The 20,226-nt window shown below is 34.7% G+C and overlaps 1 protein-coding gene across 24 annotated transcripts in view; it reads right to left on the bottom strand.

Annotated features, from left to right (window-relative positions):
- DPP10 (dipeptidyl peptidase like 10) overlaps positions 1-20,226 on the bottom strand; it is a 1,403,140-nt gene that overhangs the window by 497,509 nt on the left and 885,405 nt on the right. For 21 of the 24 annotated variants that reach the window (NM_001321910.3, NM_001399849.1, NM_020868.6 and 18 more), the window contains 1 exon segment: positions 4,360-4,455. The exons of 1 other annotated variant lie outside the window; for it this stretch is intronic. In NM_001321910.3, coding sequence (NP_001308839.2) covers positions 4,360-4,455 — 96 coding nt within the window. 24 annotated transcript variants of the gene reach the window in all.

The raw sequence follows: 20,226 nt of genomic DNA, 5'->3' as shown, positions 1-20,226 counted from the left end.
CCACTACATGAATGTACCTGGGGAAATAAACATATTATTGTAGTATTCAACATGAAAAAATTAATAGTGTTGGGACTCAGAAAATGATACCTCCAAGTATGGCATGGTGGCATGCTGAGTACGTTGAACTGACTAAGATATTGGAAGGCCTCTGAGCAGTCTCAGAAGCAAAGTCTGTATCTGACCTCCTTCTGCCTTCCTGTCTCCTACCTCTCTGCCATCCCTGAAGCAAGTAATAGAAACCAGATTCCTCTACCCCAGGAAAGGTTACAAAAACTTGAAATCCCATTACTCCCAAATCATTTTACTATAAAGACACATGCATATGTATATTTATTGCAGCACTACTCACAATAGCAAAGACTTGGAACCAACCCAAATGCCCATCAATAGTAGACTGGATAAAGAAAATGTGGCACATATATACCATGGAATACTATGCAGCCACAAAAAAGGATGAGTTCATGTCCTTTGCAGGGACATGGATGATGCTGGAAACCATCATTCTCAGCAAACTATCGCAAGGACAGAAAAACAAACAAAGCACGTTCTCACTCATAAGTGGGAGTTGCACAATGAGAACACATAGACACAGGGAGGGGAATATCACACACCAGGGCCTGTCAGGGGGTAGGGGACTAGGGGAGGGATAGCATTAGGGGAAATGCCTAATGTAGATGATGGGACGATGGGTGCAGCAAACCACCATGGCACATGTATACCTATGTAACAAACCTGCATGTTCTGCACTTGTACCCTAGAACTTAAAGTATAATAACAATAATAAAAGAAACTAGCATCCCTCTTTCCAAGCAAACCATAAGATTTAAAAATATTTTAACCTTCCTCTGCTTTTCTGTGTAGGAGCTGTCACAAGGAAATGCACTGACCTACCTTTCAGATAATAGATCATAAGACCCTATTTCCGGGGGAGTTCTGCCTTATATCTGGCAGGATGAAATGCTACACAGGGAGGCCAAGAAGGATCTGAACAGGTAAGCTTTGCTGGGTTTCTCCCTCATTTTATTATCATTAGAGTATACCCTTTTTGTCCAGTCACACTTCAATACACTGTCCGTACTTTATTTAACCTAAGCATACAAATGGACAGTTTTCCCTAGGCCTTTGATTCTTCATTTCTAAAGTCTTCCAAGTGACATAAAACTTTCATTAAATAAATTTGTTATGCTTTTCTCTTTTTAACTGGTCTTTTGTTACAGCAGTGTTGGCTGTGACCTTTATGATGGGTGAGGAAGGCTTTCATACCTTTCCACCCTACGACAGCAATGAGGTCTGTTAAAATGAGATTGTCAGTGAGGTGCTTGATAAATATGTTAGATATGAGGATGACACATCAGAGTCAAACAATGAAAGAGGTCAAGTTTTATACTTAAGCATAATGAGTAAAGCAGCCTCTGCCTTTTATTAGGTGTGTGTTCGGATAAGTTTCTGAGTTAAGCCTCAGTTTTCTGGGGTTAACTTTAATGTCATATGCAGTCCTGTGAAATATGTACATAAAGCATCGATCACAGAGTCTCAATAGAAGGCACTCAATGTTAGATCTTTCTTTGGTGATTAATTGATTATCAAATGTGTGTGGATAGAATGAATAATTTTAAATAAGATGGGTTTTCAAATTTCAAGGTGACATTGCTAGAATGAAGATGCTATAAAAATGTAGATTTCAAAGATATGAGCAGACTTGGGGTAAGGCCGTTGTTAAGCTAACCATGAACAGGGGCACCCATCCAAGACTGCAATGATATTCTCAGACATATTTTTTGAGACCAAGCATAATGAATGGCATCGCCTCACTATAACCTACACATGTCAGGGCCGTCTAGACTCCCTCCTTCCCCTTGACCAATAATGCATTAAGCACTTCTATGATGACCTCCAAGAATTAAATGATGCTTCCAAATAAGCTGAGCTCGAACTCCTTCAAGTGACTTATGTACAAAGAAAACCTGTTGAGATATCACTTGAGAATAAAGAAAAAGCTCACAGGTTACATTTAGATATAACTGTTGATAATGAGGCCAAGGTTACACATCCTACTCATATATTTCCCATTGAATTTCCAGGCTATGTGAGGAATACGTAAATAGGCCAAGTATCTAGCACTTGCCAGAAAGATCTGGGTTGGATAAAAGCACAAATCCATTTCTATACTTAAAAAGTAACTCAGTGCACACAATTTACAGGCATTGAGACAGTTCCTTCAATGGTATTTATAAAGACTGCATTCTTTCAGAGCTTAGGTTCTGTTTATTCCAATTTAAAGAGTTGTCTTTATGTCAAATTCTTTATAAAAATTATATATTTAGGTATTACTTAGAACATTATAATAACACTGCAGCTTTGTCCCAGATGCCTTCTTAGGATCAAATTTAACCAATGATTAATAAAGAAATTACTTGAAAAATGATAAACTCCAAATATATTATTTTGGTAACCTATGAAGTATAAGAGTAGAATCTGTGTCCTACATATTGAAATATGTTTTAATTTAGCATGCAGTTCACTACTTAAATATCTGTCCTGTCCTTCGGAGCTTCAATATCACAGAGTCAGTTATACACAGGAGTAAATGCCTCTAAATAGTCCAAGCTAACCTGAGAAGGGAGATGAGACCCATAATTTTTCATGTTTTCCAAAGTCAAAGACTACAAAATGTCTATAATTTGTCCAAAAACATGGTGAATAAAACAAGATTATTCAGCATTTCAAATCTAACAACTCATAATACTACTGTTTAAAAAAACCTAGCAACTTTCATTTTGTCATTTCTCTCAATAGAAAATATTTGCTAAAGAGTAAACAGGTGATTGTCATAATTATAATCACACATTAGAAGAATTATTTATGAGAGATTTGTGTATTTGGACAATTTTTTGTGATAATATATCTTTTTTATTAGCCTTCTTTAGTCATAGCACTCATTATAGTGTATATGTGAAATAATCACAGTACAAAGGCAAAAATATGACTAGCCTCAAATTTATAAACAATTCAAAATAAAAATATACAGATTCATTAAGAAAAACGCTACCTTGTGTTCTTTATCCGTAATATCATCACAATACACACTTATCTTCCAATTGATTTCAATTAAAATTTAAGTTTATGTGAAAATGAGACTGCACATCAATTAAAATCATTCATTCATTTATTCAAAAAACCAATCTCGAGTGCCTGCAGATCTCCAGGAGACATATCAGTGTCAAGTAAACACACGTGATTTGGCCTTTGCCCTCATGGGTTAAATTACATTCTCTTTATATAGCTTCCATAAATTAAAGTTTAATTCACCAGCATAAATACACTTAAGTAGAGTAAGAGAGAGGAAGGAATGGACTGTAAGTATGATGATCTTTATTATATGAAAAGGCAAAGCTCCTTTCATCTATTATACAAATAATACACTCTATGCCTTGAAAATTAGCAAAGATATTATGCCCAAATAAAGTGAAGGGTAAAGATTAACAGCTATCCAACCATAATGATTCGTATGGTTGGTCAAATTAGAACATTCAAAGGATTAAAAAACTGATTTCCTTTTCACCAACACATTATGCCCTTATGATCTTCCATAAAGACAAAGCAAAACCTATGAAGCCACTCAGTGGTTTTATTTTCTTATTTTTATGTCAGAGATTGACTTAAGAGAACCTAAGGAGTCCTATTTGCCAGGCCAGAAAAAAAAACAACAAAGTGCCATATATTTCCAAGTCATTTCAATTTTGCATAGAGTCTCACTAGCTTGTAACACTTAAGCTTAAAAAGAAAAGCCACAGAGAATAACAAAAACCAATCATATTGTCAAATCTGAAGCACTTAACATTTCTACGTACTAGCTCCCAAAATGTACACTGCCAAACTAAGAAAAATTATCTAGTGATGTGCTAGAGATGTAATACATCCTTAAAGTCATGTAACTAATGATCATGAGAGAGCAGCAGATACAAAACTGTCAACCCAATGTTTGCCAAATAATTTATTGACGCCCTATCTTAGGAATTGATTTTCTCTCACAAGAACCAAGGTTTTAATTTAAATAATACCCATGTAATCTTTGAAGTACACTTTCAATTAAATATTAACTACACATATCTTTTTTTTTTTTTTTTTTTTTTGAGATGGAGTCTCGCTCTGTCACCCAGGTTGGAGTGCAGTGGTGCGATCTCGGCTCACTGCGACGTCCGCCTCCCAGGTTCAAGCGATTCTCCTGCCTTGGCCTCCCAAGGTGCTGGGATGACAGGCATAAGCCATTGCGCCCAGCTTACACATCTCATTTTTTAAAATTTTAATTATACAGAACTCAAAATGAATACAATGTTTAAAAAGGTATACACTTACCATTGATCCACCGAGCCTCTGGATCGTGAAGCACAAAGTCTTTCCTAAAGAGGTCTTCCAAAGACAATCTGGTTTCTGACGAATTTGTGAGTTCATCTAAAATAAAGGAAATTCTAGGTTAGATGCCTATCTTATGCTTGTTTTTTAAAAGGAGCAAATTACAAAATTTGGAATATTTGCTCTAAAATATATTAACTACATAACAATATAAAGTGACCATTTTGACATGGTTTTTGGCATTTGAACTTTGTTTAATGACTTTTTAAATAAATGAAACTATTTTTACTATTAAAATTGTCTTGATCTGGTACAAATTTAATAGAGCAATCCCATGTTACGTATTAGTAATATAATATGAAAGCAGTTAAGAATTCCTGTTGTACATTGTGCCCAAAAAGGCAGATTTTCTACCATTTAACTATAATTCAGCCCCTTATTTTCCAAACTTATGTTGATATATTCTTTCATTGGAAATGTACAGTTTTGTTGTTAAAAACCAAAGATGGTAGACTTGAGGGACTTATGTATGACTAAACTCTCAAGTCAGAAAGAAGTTTACCAAGGAAATAGAGTAATTACCTACTTCCACCAAAAAAATTAGTACCCAACAAATACAAAGTAGATTTGACTTAAATGTAAAGTTCAAATAATAAAATACTAGAATATTAATGATAATACACACATTTCATACTAGTCTTTTATAGATAAGCTAGGTGTATTCCTCTTTCTACATTCCAAAATATAAGAAATGAAAAGATAACAGGACTTGAATACTAAAATCAGCATTACAAACACCCTTTTACATGCAAGAGGCTAAAGACAGGAATATTGCATTTTCTTTGCAAAATAATAACATTGTTTATTTGCTGTATAAATTCATCTTTGTGACCTTTCAGCTATGACCTTCACTTCGGTTGAAAATAAAATGTCAAGGATATATACTAACCTCATTAGATTTTATTCTGAAAAGGTTCAGCACTTGTTACAGCAAGAGCTTTGCTTTTTTCTAGCTGAAAAGGCTGGGGCAAAGAGTCAATAACGTCAAATGCAATTCCCTTTCACATAAATCAATCATGCATTTAACCCATAAAATAACTGCCAAGAAAAAATGGAAAAAAAATTATAGTAAAAATAGTGAGTATTGTTTGATTATAATTTTAGCATAAGACATTGTAATTGTATAGAGCTTTGCAAAACGAAATGCTGTTAGGTGATGATATATATTTGATCATTTGCCTGGCAGTCTGACACACCAGAATTTCTTAATTCATTCACAAATTTTCTAGTTTCATTAAAAAATTTCAAGGCAACAAGTGCAGTACTGTAAAGGATAGGAGACATATCTCTGTCCTGCCCTGAGGGGTTTGCACATGCTTAACAAAACATATAATAGATGTCAGGCCAGGCGCAGTGGGGCATGCCTGTAATCCCAGCACTTTGCGAGGCCAAGGCGGGTGGATCACTTGAGGACAGGAGCTCCAGGCCAGCCTAGCCAACATGGTGAAACTCCGTGTCAACCAAAATATATAAAACAAAAAATGAGCCTAGAGTGGTGGTGCATGTCTGAGGTCCCAGCTACTTGCGAGGCTGAGGTGGGAGAACTGCTTGAACACAGGAGGCGGAGGCTGCAGTGAGCTGAGATCGCACCACTGCACCACTATACTCCAGCCTGGGTGACAGGGTGAGACCTTGTCTCAAAAAACAAATTACACACACACACACATACATACATAATAGATGTCAGTATAAGGATAGAGAGTGCTTAATGAGTTTGAAGAAAGGAAATGTCTCACAGAAAAAATCAGAGAAGGCCTCACTTAAACATAAAATGACCAACTCTCACTAATTCCTGGGTAAGAATGCAAAATGGTACAGTCACTTTGGAAAATAATCTGGCATTTTCTTATAAAACTAAACAAATTATTATCATACAATCCAGTAATCAGGCTCCTTTGTATTTACCCAAAAGGAGGTGAAAACATATTAACACAGAAAAACCTACACACAAACATTTATAGCAGCTTTATTAATAATTGCCAAAATTTGGAAGCAACCAAGATGTCCTTCAATAGGTGAATGGCTAAATAGATACATTTTTTTAATGAGTTATTATTCTGTGCTAAAAAAAATGAGCTATCAAGCCATGAAAAGATATGGAGGAAACTTAAATGCATATTATGAAGTGAAAGAAGCCAGTAAGAAAAGGCTACATAGTATATAATCTCAACTACATGACATTTTGAAAAAGCAAAACTATAGAGACAGTAAAAATAGCAGTGGTTGCTAGGAATTGCGAGGGAAGGAATGAGCAGGTGAACATAGAGAATTTGTAGGGTGGTGAAGTTATTCCATATGATTCTACAATGGTGGATACATGTCTTTATTTACTTGTCCAAACCCATACAACACAATCCACTGGAAAGTGAATCCAAACAGACCTTGGGTGACAATGATGTGTCAATATAGGTTCATGAGTGATAGCAATTGTGCCACTCTGGTGCGGGATGTTGATAATTGGGGAAGCTATGCATGGTCTGTATCAGGCACAGGGGGGTCAGGGGGAAGAGAATATGGGAAATTCCTGTACCTTTCACTCAATTTTGCTGTGAATATAAAATTTCTCTGAAAAATAATCTATTATAAAAAAAAACTATTAAAAAAACCCTGGGTATTACATGTTTCAAAAGGCAGAGGAAGGGAATACTAGGGGCAGGAGAAGGAGGAAGAACATTTGCGATAAAAGGATAAGTGCTTTTTGTTTCACAAGCGAAAAAATATCTTAATTCCAGAATTCAGCTTCCATCATAAAAGTATGGGATTTTAATCAGATGAGCTAATTTTATTAGGGTTTCAGAAATATATTTATTCTATGAGGTATCTCAATAAAACAAAAGTTTGATATAGATAAGTTTCAAAATTTTTAAATTTCCCTATCACGTAAATTTACCATTATTTTGTCTAATCAGATCCCTTCAATTTTTAGAGAATTATATTTTATCATCTATATTTGATAAACATTGACTTATTTGATACAATAAATTTACATAGGTAAAGGTGGGAGGTAGGCATGTACTTATTTCAGTGAGAGAAATTATGCTAACAAACTTAAATGATCCTTATCTATTAAATTTAAAAAATTAACTGTATTATATATATAAATTTCTTTTATATGCATGCATCTGTTTGTCTTCCAAAAACATTTAGTTTGTTCCTAATGAGTTCCACATATTTCATTTACATTTTTTAGGAAGATGTTAACTTAAAAAAAAGGCTGTAAGTCCACCACACCAAATAATCTTATTTTCAAATAAATTTTAAAATAATAATTTGGTAATTTTCAAACATGGTATCTTTCATGTGAGCTTTAAAATCATATTACAACTCAAATAGAAATTTTATTAAAATAACACTATATATAATATACATACACACAACAGTGAAAACTGGAAAATTTTAAACATTTCACAATATTAAGGCTTTTCATTCAGAAATATTCCATCCTCATTTTATGTACATTAATACTATTTTATCTTTGATTTTTTATATAAGTCCTTTGCCCTTCCAATTGAATTTAGTGCAAAGTATATATAGTTTGGTATTGTGAACAGAATATTTCCCATTCCCATTCTAAATTATTTTTATACCTATAAGATTAATGATTACACCATATCACATTTTCTTAAACATTTCAATTATGAGTTTTTATTTTCTACATATTAAATTATAGCATCTGTAAACATATTACTTTTTTCTTTCTTTTCCAAATTTTAAGCAACTAATTATACTATGTATGCATTTGCTTCCCAGGTAATTGAAGATTCATATGAAGTTGCAAGAAATATTACAGAGAAAGTCTGTGTACTCTTCATTCAGTTTCTCTCAATGACAAGTAACATCCTGCATAATAATATCACGAAAAGAAACTGACATTGATATACTCCATCAACCTTACTCAGATTTCTGCAGTTTTACATGTATTCATTTATTCACGTGCATTCTTGCGTGTTTAGTTCTACGCAACTGCATCACAGGTGACCAGCACCACAGTCAAGAACAGTTCCATCACTAGGATCTCTTCTGCCACTCTTTCATTAACAGTCCCCCACCCAATCCCTTGGCAACCAACCACTACTCTGTTCTCCATTTTTAAAATTTTGTAATTTTAAGAATGCTATATAATCACAATCATACCATACCTAAGCTTTTGGACTGGCTTTTATCACTCAGAATAATTCCCTTGAGATCCATTCAAGTTGTTGAATGTATAAATAATCTATCACTTTTGATGGCTGAGTAATATTCCAGGGTATTGAGAGACCATTCTTTAACTCTTCACTCATTGAAGAACATTTGAGTTATTGTTATTTCTGGTTTGGGGATATTAAAAATAAAGTTACTATAAACATTTTTTTATAGATTTTTGTACAAACATACATTTTCTTTTCTCCAAGATAAATGCCCAAATATGCAGTTGCTGGGTCAAATGTAAACACATTACAGTTTTATTTAAAAATTCCATATGCTTTTTTACAGTAGTTTTACCATTTTACATTCTCACCAGCAATGTATAAATGATCCAGTTTCTCTGCATCTTCGGCAGCATTTGATGTCATTAAAAAAAAATGGCTATTCTTATATACGTGTAGTGATATCCCCTTGTGGTTTAATTTGCATTTCTCTAGTAGCTAATGAGGTTGAACATCATTTAATGTGCTTATTTATGATTCCCATATAGTCTTCAGTGAAATATCTGTTCATGTCATTCGCCCACTTTCTAACTGAATTATTTCGTTGGTGTGTTTGTTTAATGCTGCATTTGATGAGTTCTTCGTCTATTCTAAATACAAATGCTTTGTCAGATACGTGAATTTCAAATATTTCCCTCCAGTCTGTAAGTTGTCTTTTCACCCTCTTTAGAAAATGTTTTGTGGAGAAAAAGGTATCAATATTTATGAGATCCAGGTAATCAATTTTTCCTTTTATGAATCGTGCTTTTGCTGTCAAGTCTAACAATGTTTCACCTATTTCTTGGTCTTGAAACTTTCTCCTATGGCTTTTTCCTAAAAAATGTTATAGTTTTATTTCACATATTCCTCCCTGCTCTATTTTGAGTTACTTTTTGTATATCTTCACACATGGCATGAGGCTTAATATGAAGTTTTGTTTGTCTGCTGGTTTATTTTGTTTTGTGTCTATGGATGACTAATTGTTCCAACTTCATTTTTGAAAAGCATTTGTTTAATTCTATTGAATTATTTCATTAGCTTGAATGTGAAAAATGATACTGAGCTGGGCAAGGTGGCTCATGTCTATAATCCCAGCTGCTTGGGAGGCTGAGGCAGGAGGATCATTTGAGTTGAGGAGTTAGTTCAAGGTTAGAGTGAGCTATGACTGTGCCACTGCGCCACTTCACTCCAGCCTGGGCAAGAGAGTGAGGCCTAATCCCTAAAACTAAAAAAAATTAATTTATTTTAAAAAAATGTTGAATGATCATAGTGTCAGTGACATTGCTTTTTTTCCATTATGAAATAATCATTATTTCTTTCCAGACTCTTTTATATAAACATATTTTTCTCCTTTAACACATTGATATAAAAATTACATAAATACAATCTCCTGTTTACAACCACCCGATATGTCTGTAACAAAATCCAACCAAGCACGTTGAATTCTTATTTTTATACTATTAGATTAATATGTTAAACTTTTATTTAAATGTTTACATCTAGGTTAACAGACAAAGTTACACAGTCCTTTGTTTTCCATTCTGTATTATATTGATCACTTGGCACATTAATACATTTATTCAATATTTTTGAAGTTGTGTTTATTTTCTGTGCTCTGGAATAGTTTAATAATTTTAATAATATTTTTTAACTCCAATTGCCCCTGGAACTTATTCTAAAACCAACCCTTCAAAGCAATTCAAATAACTATAAATAAATCTTCTGTTTAAACAATAATGAGAAGGAGATATTATGTAATTTAATAATTAATGTATTTGGCTTTATTCAATACTGAGAAAACTATATACTTCATTCATTTCTTTGTTTTTTTCTTCTTCTGTGTTGCTTTCTTTGTTCCTTTCCTTAAATTTTCCTTAGCTGCCTACCCTGAGGTCTCTTGAATTTTTCATTCCTAGAATAAAGACTCCTTCCTTATACACATAATGAATAATTAAGCTTCTCTTTTAATAGCCTCCAAGGCTAACTTCTATCCTCTATCTTTTTTTTTTTTTTTTTTTTTTTTTTATGAGCAGCCTCCCCCTGTCTCATTGTAATCCTTCGGGATGTTCATTCCTTGCAACCAATCCTCTCTTTTCTGAATGTCCCCCAAACCCTACTGGGTATTAGTATCCTCATTTCACAGAGAAACAGGCTCGGCAATGTTGACAAAGACCACGTAACTAGTAATTGGCAGAGCTGAAACTTGAACCTGCATCTCTCTGACTTTAGGTTTTCTTCATTAAGCTATACTATCTCCCAAAAATAAGTTTTCTTTCCTTTTCTCTTTAATAATGTATTAATAGCATCTTTTCACAAGACAATATACAATCTTACAAAAATATTTTAGGAATATTCTTATTGCCTTTTAGCCACTAGAACCCTTCTTCCAACTGAAATCCAACTCCTTAGTGTAAGCCCCTCTGGAGCTTATTAGCATCCCATTCTGCCTCAACTTGCCCAGGAAGATAATAGCATATCCTCTTTTCTCAAAGAGAGAAATGTCACAGCATTCACTAAAATGTAGGAATTTTTTTTTTTTTTTTGCTTTCTTCAAGACACTTGTCTACAATATGTCTTAAATTCCAAGCTTACCCTCTGCTCATTGTTACAGGCAATTTATAGTTACAACGGAACTCAGTCATCAACAAACATTTATTACTCACATTGCAACGTAATTTAGCAGGAACTTAATTTATGTTAGAATCAGACCCAGGGAGAATCACCTAGAGAAATCTTACTATTTGATACATTTAAATAATTTTCTCTTTATTTTTACCTAGCAAACAGAGAAACCTGGATATCAATCATTCATCTCAATCACTCACACTGAACAACGAGAAGGTGGCTCAGAAAAAAATATTAGATTGTAAATCATTTTGAGACACTCTTTCAAAATATTATTAATTTTTATTAATCTTTAGAGAAAGAAATTCTAAAATCAATACTTAGTCCCTAATGTAAAGAAAATATTGCTAAAATTTAATATTCACCTCTCATAGGTTGTTCTCCTTACTAGCAAGTTACTTGAGAATATATCTCTAGTGATTCTGTAACAAAATATAAGGCACAATTATATATATATATATAGAGAGAGAGAGAGAGACAGAGAGAGAGAGAGAGAGAGAGAGTACACATGTATGAAAGTCTGAAAACCTACTATATTTTAATAGTTGCTATTAAAAGTGTAAATATTTGTTAACCCTATCAGATACTATAATTATGAATAGGGACACAAAAATCCAAATAAATATATGGTTTAACAATTCACAAGTATTTAGAGACCTGGAAACAGAATCCTTATTGGTTAAATAGTTACAAGGTATTGTAGAATCTTAAGTAAAAAGTTCAGCTTTGACAATATGAATGTGGCAACAGAACTGAAATTGAATAATTCACGCCATGTTCTTTTCTGTGCTCTATTTGGTCCTTTAAGATCATAGACTGCTATGGGTATTTCTGTTCTTTCTTCCAAAAATCCAATCTTGCTTTTAAATGGCCTTTGAAATGAGTTGGCTGCATAATCTTAGATGAAAAAAAAAGAAAGTTCTTCAGCATTCAACTGAAGAAAAGCTAATTTATGACTTTAAGTTCTTGGTTCCTCTTTGCTGAAAATAATTGTGTTAGTTTTATCTAGTTTATTCTTGATATCAGAGGTTTAGAAATATTTCCTTAATTTAAATCCTATTCAAAATAATTTCCTATTAAAACAGAAATAGAAAGAAAAATCTAATCAAGTAGTTATTTAAAATTTCCCACAAGAAGAACAAGCTATTTTCCTTTCTACTCACGTGATTCTCCCTTAGCTGGGTTTTCCCAGTACCACCATCTCCATTCCCAGGGCTGTAGTTTAAATATTTACTCTTAATCGTATTCTTCATTTTCCATGGTTAGTGTCATATGGGATAGTCTTCTAATGCATTTCCATTTTAAATATTATTGACTAGCTGATTGAAATAACATCACTTCTACCCCTCCTTGCACAGCTAGATGAAACTACAGAATGCAAATCACAATAGTCAAGATTAAATTCTAGATTTTTCAAAATATCTGCCATTGCTTTGTGCATTCTCTAACTTGTCAGCAGATCCTAAGATTTTGTTTTAGTACTTAACATATGAAATATAAATTCTATTCTTATTTTCTTTTTAAAATATCTGTTCTTTTCTTTCCCTAGGATGCTGAAACTTTAGGCAGCAGATGAAATATGGTCTAAATTTATGTCATTTGAGATCAGGATAAGATCACAAGCTTGTTTCTTAATGTTTCCTAACTTATCACCTAGAAAATGAAAAACAGTTTCTTCTTTCCTCCTTAAGAAATTTACAGTTTTTAATGTACATTAAAAAAATAAATTTAAATAGTTAATTTGTATAGTAGTTAATATGGTTTGGCTATGTCCCTACCCAAATCTCATTTTCAATTGTAACTCCCACAATTCCCACATGTCATGAGAAGAACCCAGTGGGAGGTGACTGAAATATGGGGTCAGGTCTTTCCTTCACTGTTCTCATGGTACTGAATGAGTCTCATGAGATCTCACGGTTTTAAAAATGGCAGTTTCCCTGCACAAGGTTTCTTTTTGCCTCCTGCCATCCCCGTAAGATGTGACTTTCTCCTCCTTTTCTTCCACCATGATTGTGAAGCCTCCCCAGCCATACAGAACTGTAAGTCCAATAAAACCTCGTCTTTTGTAAATATCCCAGTCTCGGGTATATCTTTATCAGCAGCGTGAAAATGAACTAATACAGTAGTAGAACCAAAAAAAAAAAAAGATATATCCTGGTATATTTTGCATAGATTTTTTGGGTTATGTTTTGTTTTGTGTTTTACATAAAAGAAGACTTATATAGAAATCACCAAGCAAATTACGGAGCTCATTTACTTTTAGCTATTGTCTTTATTATTATTAAAATGTAAAATATACAGGGCCCTATAAAGCACCTTCACATTATTCACTTTCAGACAAACAAAAAATATTTTTCATTCTCTTGAAATATCTCTTTCATAGTTGTTCTCTTCAACCGAAATGTTTCTACGTGTATTCTCAGATTTACTTTTAGAAACACAATATGAAGTTGCTTCTTTATAGTTATTGGAAAAATATAGTAAAATGTAAAATTCACAGAAAAGTCTCTTTTCAGAAGTGTATTTAACTATGTTGACTTTATAAGTTCCAAAATATAAATTGGAAAAATAATAATCTATAGTTCAAGCTCTTTAATGAAGAAAACCTAATAGCTTGTCACTTAGTATTGTGAAGCCTAATTCATCCATTCAAGCAAAAGCCAAAAAGGAAAAGTCAAATACACTACATCTGTTTTACAGTTCCAGGGAATCACCTTTGCTCTTCTTGGCATACTAGGGATTTCCTTCTATATATCTTTCTTTTGCCTTTTCTTACTCTTTCTAATCTCTTGTTGCAGAAATAGCTAGGTTTCTTAAAAAAAAAAAAAAAACAGAGTCTGCTCTGGTCCATTCCTGATAAATTCTACTAATTAGAATTACTTTTGGAGTTGCTCTTCCTGAGGAGTATCTGTGTGGCATTCTCTGTATTTCCTGAATTTGAATGTTAGCCTGCCTTGCTAGGTTGGGGAAGTTCTCCCGGATAATATCCTGCAGAGTGTTTTCCAACTTGGTTCCATTCGCCCCGTCACTTTCAAGTACACCAATCAGAGGTAGATTTGATCTTTTCACATAGTCCCATATTTCTTGGAGGCTTTCTTTGTTTCTTTTTACTCTTTTTTTCCCTAAACTTCTCTTCTCACCTTGAGAAGAGCAACTCTAAGACACATAATTGTCAGATACACCAAAGTTGAAGTGAAGGAAAAAATGTTAAGGGCAGCCAGAGAGAAAGGTCGGGTTATCCACAAAGGGAAGCCCATCAGACTAACAGCGGATCTCTCGGCAGAAACCCTATAAGCCAGAAGAGAGTGGGGGCCAATATTCAACATTCCTAAAGAAAAGAATTTTCAACCCAGAATTTTATATCCAGCCAAACCAAGCTTCATAAGTGAAGGAGAAATAAAATCCTTTACAGACAAGCAAATGCTGAGAGATTTTGTCACCACCAGGCCTGCCCTAAAAGAGCTCCTGAAGGAAGCACTAAACATGGAAAGGAACAACCAGTACCAGCCACTGCAAAAACATGCCAAATTGTAAAGACCATTGATGCTAGGAAGACACTGCATCAACTAACGAGCAAAATAACCAGCTAACATCATACTGACAGGATCAAATTCACACATAACAATATTAACCTTAAATGTAAATGGGCCAAATGCTCCAATTAAAAGACACAGACTGGCAAATTGGATAAAGAGACAAGACACATCAGTGTACTGTATTCAGGAGACGCATCTCACATGCAGAGACACACATAGGCTCAAAATGAAGGGATGGAGGAAGATCTACCAAGCAAATGGAAAACAAAAACAGGCAGGGGTTGTAATCCTAGTGTCTGATAAAACAGACTTTAAACCAACAAAGATCAAAAGAGACAAAGAAGGCCATTACGTAATGGTAAAGGGATCAATTCAACAAGAAAAGCTAACAATCCTAAATATATATGCACCCAATACACGAGCACCCAGATTCATAAAGCAAGTCCTTAGAGATCTACAAAGAGACTTAGACTCCCACACAATATTAATGGGAAACTTTAACACCCCACTGTCAACATTAGGCAGATCAACGAGACAGAAAGTTAAAAAGGACATCCAGGAATTGAACGCAGCACTGCACCAAGTGGACCTAATAGACATCTACAGAACTCTCCACCCAAATCAACAGAATATACATTTTTTCAGCACCACACCACACCGATTCCAAAATTGACCACATACTTGGAAGGAATGCTCTCCTCAGCAAATGTAAAAGAACAGAAATTATAAAAAACTGTCTCTCAGACCACAGCGCAATCAAACTGGAACTCAGGATTAAGAAACTCACTCAAAACTGCTCAACTACATGGAAACTGAACAACCTGCTCCTGAATGACTACTGGGTACATAACAAAATGAAGGCAGAAATAAAGATGTTCTTTGAAACCAATGAGAACAAACACACAACATACCAGAATCTCTGGGACACATTTAAAGCAGTGTGTAGCGGGAAATTCATAGCACTAAATGCCCACAAGAGAAAGAAGGAAAGATCTAAAATAGACACCCTAACAACACAATTAAAAGAACTAGAGAAGCAAAAGCAAACACATTCAAAAGCTAGCAGACGGCAAGAAATAACTAAGATCAGAGCAGAACTGAAGGAGACAGAGATATAAAAAACCCTTCAAAAAGTCAATGAATCCAGGAGCTGGTTTTTCGAAAAGATCAACAAAATTGATAGACCACTAGCAAAACTAATAAAGAAGTAAAGAGAGAAGAATAAAATACGCACAATAAAAAATGATAAAGGGGATATTACCACTGATCCCACAGAAATACAAACTACCATCAGAGAATACTATAAACACCTCTATGCAAATAAACTAGAAAATCTAGAAGAAATGGATAAATTCCTGGACACACACACCCTCCCAAGACTAAACCAGGAAGAAGTTGAATCTCTGAATAGACCAATAAGAGGCTCTGAAATTGAGGCAATAATCAATAGCTTACCAACCAAAAAAAGTCCAGGACCAGATGGATTCACAGCTGAATTCTACCAGACGTACAAGGAGAAGCTGGTACCATTCCCTCTGAAACTATTCCAATCAACAGAAAAAGAGAGAATCCTCCCTAACTCACTTTATGAGGCCAGCATCATCCTGATACCAAAGCCTGGCAGAGACACAACAAAAAAAAGAGAATTTTAGACCAATATCCCTGATGAACATTGATGCAAAAATCCTCAATAAAATACTGGCAAACCGAATCCAGCAGCACATCAAAAAGCTTATCCACCATGATCAAGTGGGCTTCATCCCTAGGATGCAAGACTGGTTCAACATATGCAAATCAACAAACATAATCCATCATATAAATAGAACCAAAGACAAAAACCATATGATTATCTCAATAGATGCAGAAAAGGCCTTTGACAAAATTCAACAGCACTTCAGGCTAAAAACTCTCAATAAATTCGGTATTGATGGGACATATCTCAAAATAATAAGAGCTATCTATGACAAACCCACAGCCAATATCATACTGAATGGGCAAAAACTGGGAGCATTCCCTTTGAAAACTGGCACAAGACGGGGATGCCCCCTTTCACCACTCCTATTCAACATAGTGCTGGAAGTTCTGGCCAGGGCAATCAGGCAGGAGGAAGAAATAAAGGGTATTCAGTTAGGAAAAGAGGAAGTCAAATTGTCCTTGTTTGCAGATGACATCATTGTATATTTAGAAAACCCCATCGTCTCAGCCCAAAATCTCCTTAAGCTGATAAGCAACTTCAGCAAAATCTCAGGATATAAAATCAGTGTGCAAAAATCACAAGCATTCTTATACACAAATAACAGACAGAGAGCCAAATCATGAGTGAACTCCCATTCACAATTGCTTCAAAGAGAATAAAATACCTAGGAATCCAACTTACAAGGGATGTGAAGGACCTCTTCAAGGAGAACTACAAACCACTGCTCAACGAAATAAAAGAGGACACAAAAAAATGGAAGAACGTTCCATGCCCATGGATAGGAAGAATCAATATCGTGAAAATGGCCATACTGCCCAAGGTAATTTATAGATTCAATGCCATCCCCATCAAGTTACCAATGACTTTCTTCACAGAATTGGAAAAAACTACCTTAAAGTTCATATGGAACCAAAAAAGAGCCCACATTGCCAAGACAATCCTAAGCCAAAAGAACAAAGCTGGAGGCATCATGCTACCAGACTTCAAACTATACTACAAGGCTACAGTAACCAAAACAGCATGGTACTCGTACCAAAACAGAGATATAGACCAATGGAACAGAACAGAAATAGTACCACACATCTACAACTATCTGATCTTTGACAAACCTGAGAAAAACAAGCAATGGGGAAAGGATTCCCTATTTAATAAATGGTGCTGGGAAAACTGGCTAGCCATATGTAGAAAGCTGAAACTGGATCCCTTCCTTACACCTTATACAAAAATTAATTCAAGATGGATTAAAGACTTAAATGTTAGAGTTAAAACCATAAAAACCCTAGAAGAAAACCTAGGCAATACCATTCAGTACATAGGCATGGGCAAGGACTTCATGTCTAAAACACCAAAAGCAATGGCAACAAAAGCCACAATTGACAAATGGGATCTAATTAAACTAAAGAGCTTCTGCACAGCAAAAGAAACTACCATCAGAGTGAACAGGCAACCTACAGAATGGGAGAAAATTTTTGCAATCTACTCATCTGACAAAGGGCTAATATCCAGAATCTACAATGAACTCAAACAAATTTACAAGAAAAAAACAAACCCAACAAAAAGTGGGCAAAAGATATGAACAGACACTTCTCAAAAGAAGACATTTATGCAGCCAAAAGACACATGAAAAAATGCTCATCATCACTGGCCATCAGAGAAATGCAAATCAAAACCACAATGAGATACCATCTCACACCAGTTAGAATGGCGATCATTAAAAAGTCAGGAAACAACAGGTGCTGGAGAGGATGTGGAGAAATAGGAACACTTTTACACTGTTGGTGGGACTGCAAACTAGTTCAACCATTATGGCAGACAGTGTGGCGATTCCTCAAGGATCTAGAACTAGAAATACCATTTGACCCAGTGATCCCATTACTGGGTACATACCCAAAGGATTATAAATCATGCTGCTATAAAGACACAATGCACACATATGTTTACTGCAGCACTATTCACAATAGCAAAGACTTGGAACCAACCCAAATGTCCATCAATGATAGACTGGATTAAGAAAATGTGGTACATATACACCATGGAATACTATGCAGCCATAAAAAAGGATGAGTTCATATCCTTTGTAGGGACATGGAAGAAGCTGGAAACCATCATTCTCAGCAAACTGTCGCAAAGACAAAAAACCAAACACCTCATGTTCTCACTCATAGGTGGGAATTGAACAATGAAAACGCTTGGACACAGGAAGGGGAACATCACACACCAGGGCCTGTCATTGGGTAGGGGGAGCGGGGAGGGATAGCATTAGGAGATATACCTAATGTAAATGATGAGTTAATGGGTGCAGCACACCAACATGGCACATGTATACATATGTAACAAACCCGCACGTTTTGCACATGTACCCTAGAACTTAAATAAAATAAAAAATAAAGAAAGCAAGAACTACTTTTGACTCAGATTATCCCTGTATCTTACAAAGCCTAATAATACATACTCCTTAATTTAATTTGTTTCCTGGGTCAGACAATCATCCAATGAATGTTCTTTCCTATCTGAGTATATTTCCAAAATGGGACTTTCATACAGAAAGCCATATTTTAATTATAAATACATTTTTAAAACTCAACATAGGGTAAGTAACTAAATTAAGACCAAACTGTGCCTGTATTAAATAGAATGAGGAGGACAGCTGACAAATGAAATATAATTTATTATCTGCTTCTTTCTGTTTTCTCACAAAACTCTGCTCTTTTTTCAACAAATATAGAAATAATATTTAGGATATTCATACTGAGTACATAAAACAAAAGCATAATCTGCAAGAAGTTTACCACCTACAATGCCTTCACCTTCCCTGCAGTGCCCAGCATACTGTAATAAATCTAACCTCTGCTTCTCTGTTCTCAAAAGGGGATGGGCAATGATGCTTCACAAACAGTGATCAGAGTTAGAAGGTCATATTTTAGTCCTAATTCAACCCTTCACTAGCAGGTATCTCTTTGGTTAGATCACTCCATTTATTTATGCATCATTTTTTGCATTTGCAAAGACCAAGAGTTGGACTAAATCACACTATATCCAGCAGTGTTCTAAGGACTCTAGTGAACTCTTTCAGGATAGAGAAGAGATGAGGGAAGGACAGAGGTTATGTGATTAGACCTCTTCAACCAGAAAAATGCTGCTTTGGCATGTTTGATTCTTTGTATAGAATTTTATTTGAAGCTCTACACATACATGCTTGCACACACACAAAACCCATACAAACACACATGATGAGCTGCAAACTAGCTTGCATCTCTTAGGATTCTCAAATTTCTGGTATATCTTATACTAGGCTCTTTCATTTTTGGCAGTGACTCAAAGTGCTCATCAAATAAGAAATGTACCTTTAGGTTCTGAAGGACTATTATTAAATTTTACCTCAAACTTATCATCCATTGATTACATAAGTCAAGAGCTTTAGGATTTACTCATAGTTCTAATTAGCCAAATTAGTCAATCATTCAAAATGCTAATGATTCTCAAACCTCTTTCTGAGACCTTTTTCAAATTAACATCTCCTGAATATGAGTAAAGAATCTAAATATGAGAAATGTATGTAAGCTTTCCACATTTGGAGAAGAGCATTTACACACTGTGATACATACACATGTGTACACACATACACCCTGAAATGATGTCCTCCTTTTACCCTAAAGTGTTATGGCTCTATAAAGTCATATTTAAGTTCCTCCTTCACATATGTTGCTTGATTCTATCACATTACCATGACCAAATTTTTATTGCATGTCTTTATTAGCCTACACCAGAGGTTTCTGGTGTATGG

The sequence above is a fragment of the Homo sapiens genome, chromosome 2 (assembly GCF_000001405.40).
Source record: "Homo sapiens chromosome 2, GRCh38.p14 Primary Assembly".
Lineage (NCBI taxonomy): Eukaryota > Metazoa > Chordata > Mammalia > Primates > Hominidae > Homo > Homo sapiens.
The sequence above is the reverse complement of the archived record's forward strand: the minus strand, read 5'-3'. Positions and strand labels throughout refer to the sequence as shown.